Here is a 3,945-nt window from a genome sequence, read left to right as displayed (position 1 = left end):
TTCTGGATTAGCATGGAACCTGGGCAGTAGCCATCTTCCTTTAACCATCAGAAGGCTTGTGCAGAAACTCCAGTACTGTTTCAGAACATAAAAGTCCCTAATCTGTTGGCCCACCTTGCTGGTATGGGGAAAAAACCAGGTCCACTGCTCTGTCAACGTCTGCCAGATCCTGTTTTATCTTTTCTGCCTCCTAGGTCCAGTAAATATTTAGATCCATGAAAAAGGGCACCAGTTTCTCCTGCAAGTAACCAGCATCATCAAACTTGAAGACTTGGAGGTTGCAGTGAGATGTCAACTTAGGGTTTACTGTATCTTGTGGCTCTCGATTTGTTCTTACTTTCCCTTATTTTATATTTTTGCTTAAGTGCTGACATCAGGCCCCAGAATCACAGGCACAAGCATCACGCTCACATAGACTGTTGAACTTTCACAATTGCAAAGCTGAATTTGTATACTAAACTCGTCACTCTGTAACAATCATAGTAGCTCTGCTTCTCTGACTGAACCTTAACCTACAGAGATAGAATAGACCCCCCCCCTTATATTTCAGGAATGCATTTCAAGATCTAAAGTGGATAATGAAACTGTAAATATTACCCTAACCTATATACACTATGTTTTTTTCTTATTAAGTTGAGAATTTTTATGTTTTCATTTAAATGAAGTACTTCATACTTTCTCTTTGGCATGTTGAAATTGCCAGCATCACTACTCTTTTACCTTGGAGTCATTAGTAAGCAAAATAATGGTAACTTGAAAACAAGTACTGAAATAATATGACAGTCAATCTGTTAACCAAGATGGCTATTAAATGATTAGTGGGAGGGTAACTATTAAGTGACTAAGGAGGAGGAAGTATCTATAGTGTGGATATGCTGGACAGAGGAGTGATTCACTTTCTGAGAGAGAAGGAACAAGAAAGCATTAGATTTCATGCTACTCAAAATGGTGTGCAATTTAAAACTTATGAATTATTTATTTCCGGAATTTTTTATTTTATATTTTTGGCCAGCAATTGACTGAAGGTAACTGAAACTATAGTAAGCAAAGCCACAGATAAGGAGTGAACTACTAAATTATTAGGCTACGTTTACAGATGAGGAAATGGAGTCTCAGGGAAAATTACATAGGTGGTAAATGACAGACACAGACATAACCCAGGTTGATATAAATCCACCCACTGTAATAATTTAATGAATTAAGAGATTGGAGTGGGATGGAATAGACTGAGAAATTTGCTGTAGGTGTTGAAGTCATTACCTGTGCTCCAAAAAGTAGAATGAGAGGTCATTTACATAAAGAAGAAGAATTGGATCATGAATCAAGTTCATGGTTTAGAGCTTCCATGTTTCATATATCTGGAAAATTGTCTTTTCTTCTCTTTGACTGCTGTTACCATTCTTGCTTTCCGATAACCATATTGTTGAAGTTACATCTAGCATCTAGCAGGTCTTTCATTTCCACTGCCTACCAGCAAATCTTTGTTGTATTATCTTCTTAGAAACTGCTCCACCCTCTATACTTACTTTTGGCTTAGATCCATGATTGTTAAATGTATAGGTTATCTTAATTTTAGATCACCACTTTGGACATAACATTCAAGATTAGATAATTTTATTAGATAAGCAAAACTAAGACATTCACTATACAATTCTTGTATTGAATGTTGGTAGGCAGACTTTCTAATGGAACATCTCATCCTTATTTCAAGTAGATCACATAGAGACAAAAGAAGATTCATTAAAGAAGACAAAAAAGAAAAGTGAATCTTCTTTAAAGTTAGAGCCTTGACTTTTCAATGTATTTCCTGTTAAATTTTATCTCATATCATTGGCATTAGATAATAAATGATTCAAAACACATTATTACAGTTTGACATAAAATTTAGGATTGCTGCTTTAATTTTTCACCTTATACTATTTTTAAAGTAAATATTATAAATATTAAAAAGTACTGAACAATAACCACTGTCTCTCACAAGAAAAAAAAATTACCAAATGTATTATTCAGAGTTTGGTAATGTAATTTTATAATGAGTAACCTCTTACCTTAATTATAGAACAGAAATGTATGGAATACAAATTTAATATTGAGAGGAATGTTCTTTTGGTTGGACAATATGCCTTTCTGAAAACAAATTTTATGATGAGCAAATGATTGGCATTTGAAGGACAACTAGATGTAAGATCTGCACTCATTCACTTGACAAACATTTGCCATCATGTTTTGTATTGGGAATGTTCTAGGTCCTGGGCATATAGTGATAGGTCTTAAGTGGTCCCTTTTCCTTGCCCATAAAATAGGAGAGGACCAACAAAACACCTGTGTTATGCAGTGTATACAGATTTTGATTTGAGATACACACAGAAAAAGTGAAGACCCCAAAGAAAGTCCAATCTACACCCTTCAAATGGGCTGAGGAAGGTAAATGGGGATAAATTTGTGCTGGATCTTGAAGTATAAAGTCTAATCTGTGCTTTAGGTCAAGTGGGATTACATCAAGAGAGAAGTCAGTCTACAAAACAAAAGAGAGATAACTGGAAGTCATTCAGTGTGCTTAGAACAGAGGAGTGCATAAGGAAGAAAATCAGAATGTGATTTAAAGAAGTGGGTAAGAGCAAAAACGTGATTTATTTTTTGTTTGTTTGTTTGTTTATTTATTTATTTATTGAGACGGAGTATCGCTCTGTCGCCCAGGCTGGAGTGCAGTGACGCGATCTTGGCTCACTGCAACCTCCGCCTCCCAGGTTCAAGCCATTCCCCTGCCTCAGCCTCCTGATTAGCTGGAACTATAGTCACACGCCACCAAACCTAGCTAATTTTTGTATTTTTAGTAGAGACGGAGTTTCACCAAGTTGGCCGGGCTGGTCCTCAAGTGCTCCACCCACCTCAGCCTCCCAAAGTGCTAGGATTATAGGCGTGAGACACCACACCAGAAAGATTTATTTTTTAAAGTAGCCACTTTACAGTACTGTATTAGAAAGGGAAGTGGTAGAAGAGCAGTCTATCTGATTCTCAAATTAATAAGATTCTTTTCTTAATTTTATTTTTATTGAATACCAGAATGTATCACTAAAAATGATTGCAGTATATTCTCATGAAATACATTTTGTTTCTTGAAAAGAACAAAATCATCATCCTCATTTTTTAATTCAAAACATCAGATTCACTTTGTCTTTTGATTCACTTTGTCTTGAACCTAAGATCCTAATTTCAAAAAGAGTGATACATTTCCAATATTTAAGAAATTATTATGCTTTTATAAGCAGATTCCTAGCCTCAGTCTCCTCAGAATCTAATGCCAAAAGTATTATGGTGGCATATGAATTCTAATAGTGGGAGGTGGTTCCTGAACTGCACACTTGGCAAGATATTCCTGGTGAATAAGAGCTCATATTCCTAGTTATTGCCACAAGCCAGTGCTAACTGAGATCGAAGTTACATGAAACAGATCAGAGGGGAGTTGGAACATCCATCAAAAAAGAAGAAAATGAGGCCCATATCTCAAAGGACTCTACCATTCTGGTGGTATGGGTTGTAGGGAAGCATACTAAATAGTAAGGGTCTCTGGTGCACATTGCTAATTGCAAAAAAGAAAAAAAAAGTTTTACAATCCATTCCATGTCAGTGGCAGTAGAGTAAGTGCACAGTACCTCATTTCTGATTCATTTTTCATCAGTGAGGATTTAGGCAACAGACACAGCATGTATCTCTTCAAATGTAAGTGCTAATGCATACTTCCCTGCACCCCAACACACACACACACACACACACACACTCCCTCACAACAATGAACCACAATCTATATGAATTATGCAATTTTGATGGTAGAAATGACAGTACAATAGCATTTAAACCTTTGCCAAAATACCTGTGGTTAGAAACAAGAACGTCTTTTAAGAAACCAAATGTGCCTTTCAGATAGTCTCTAAGTATCCTAGCTTT

The sequence above is a fragment of the Homo sapiens genome, chromosome 18 (assembly GCF_000001405.40).
Source record: "Homo sapiens chromosome 18, GRCh38.p14 Primary Assembly".
NCBI lineage: Eukaryota > Metazoa > Chordata > Mammalia > Primates > Hominidae > Homo > Homo sapiens.
Note: the sequence above shows the minus strand (reverse complement) of the source record.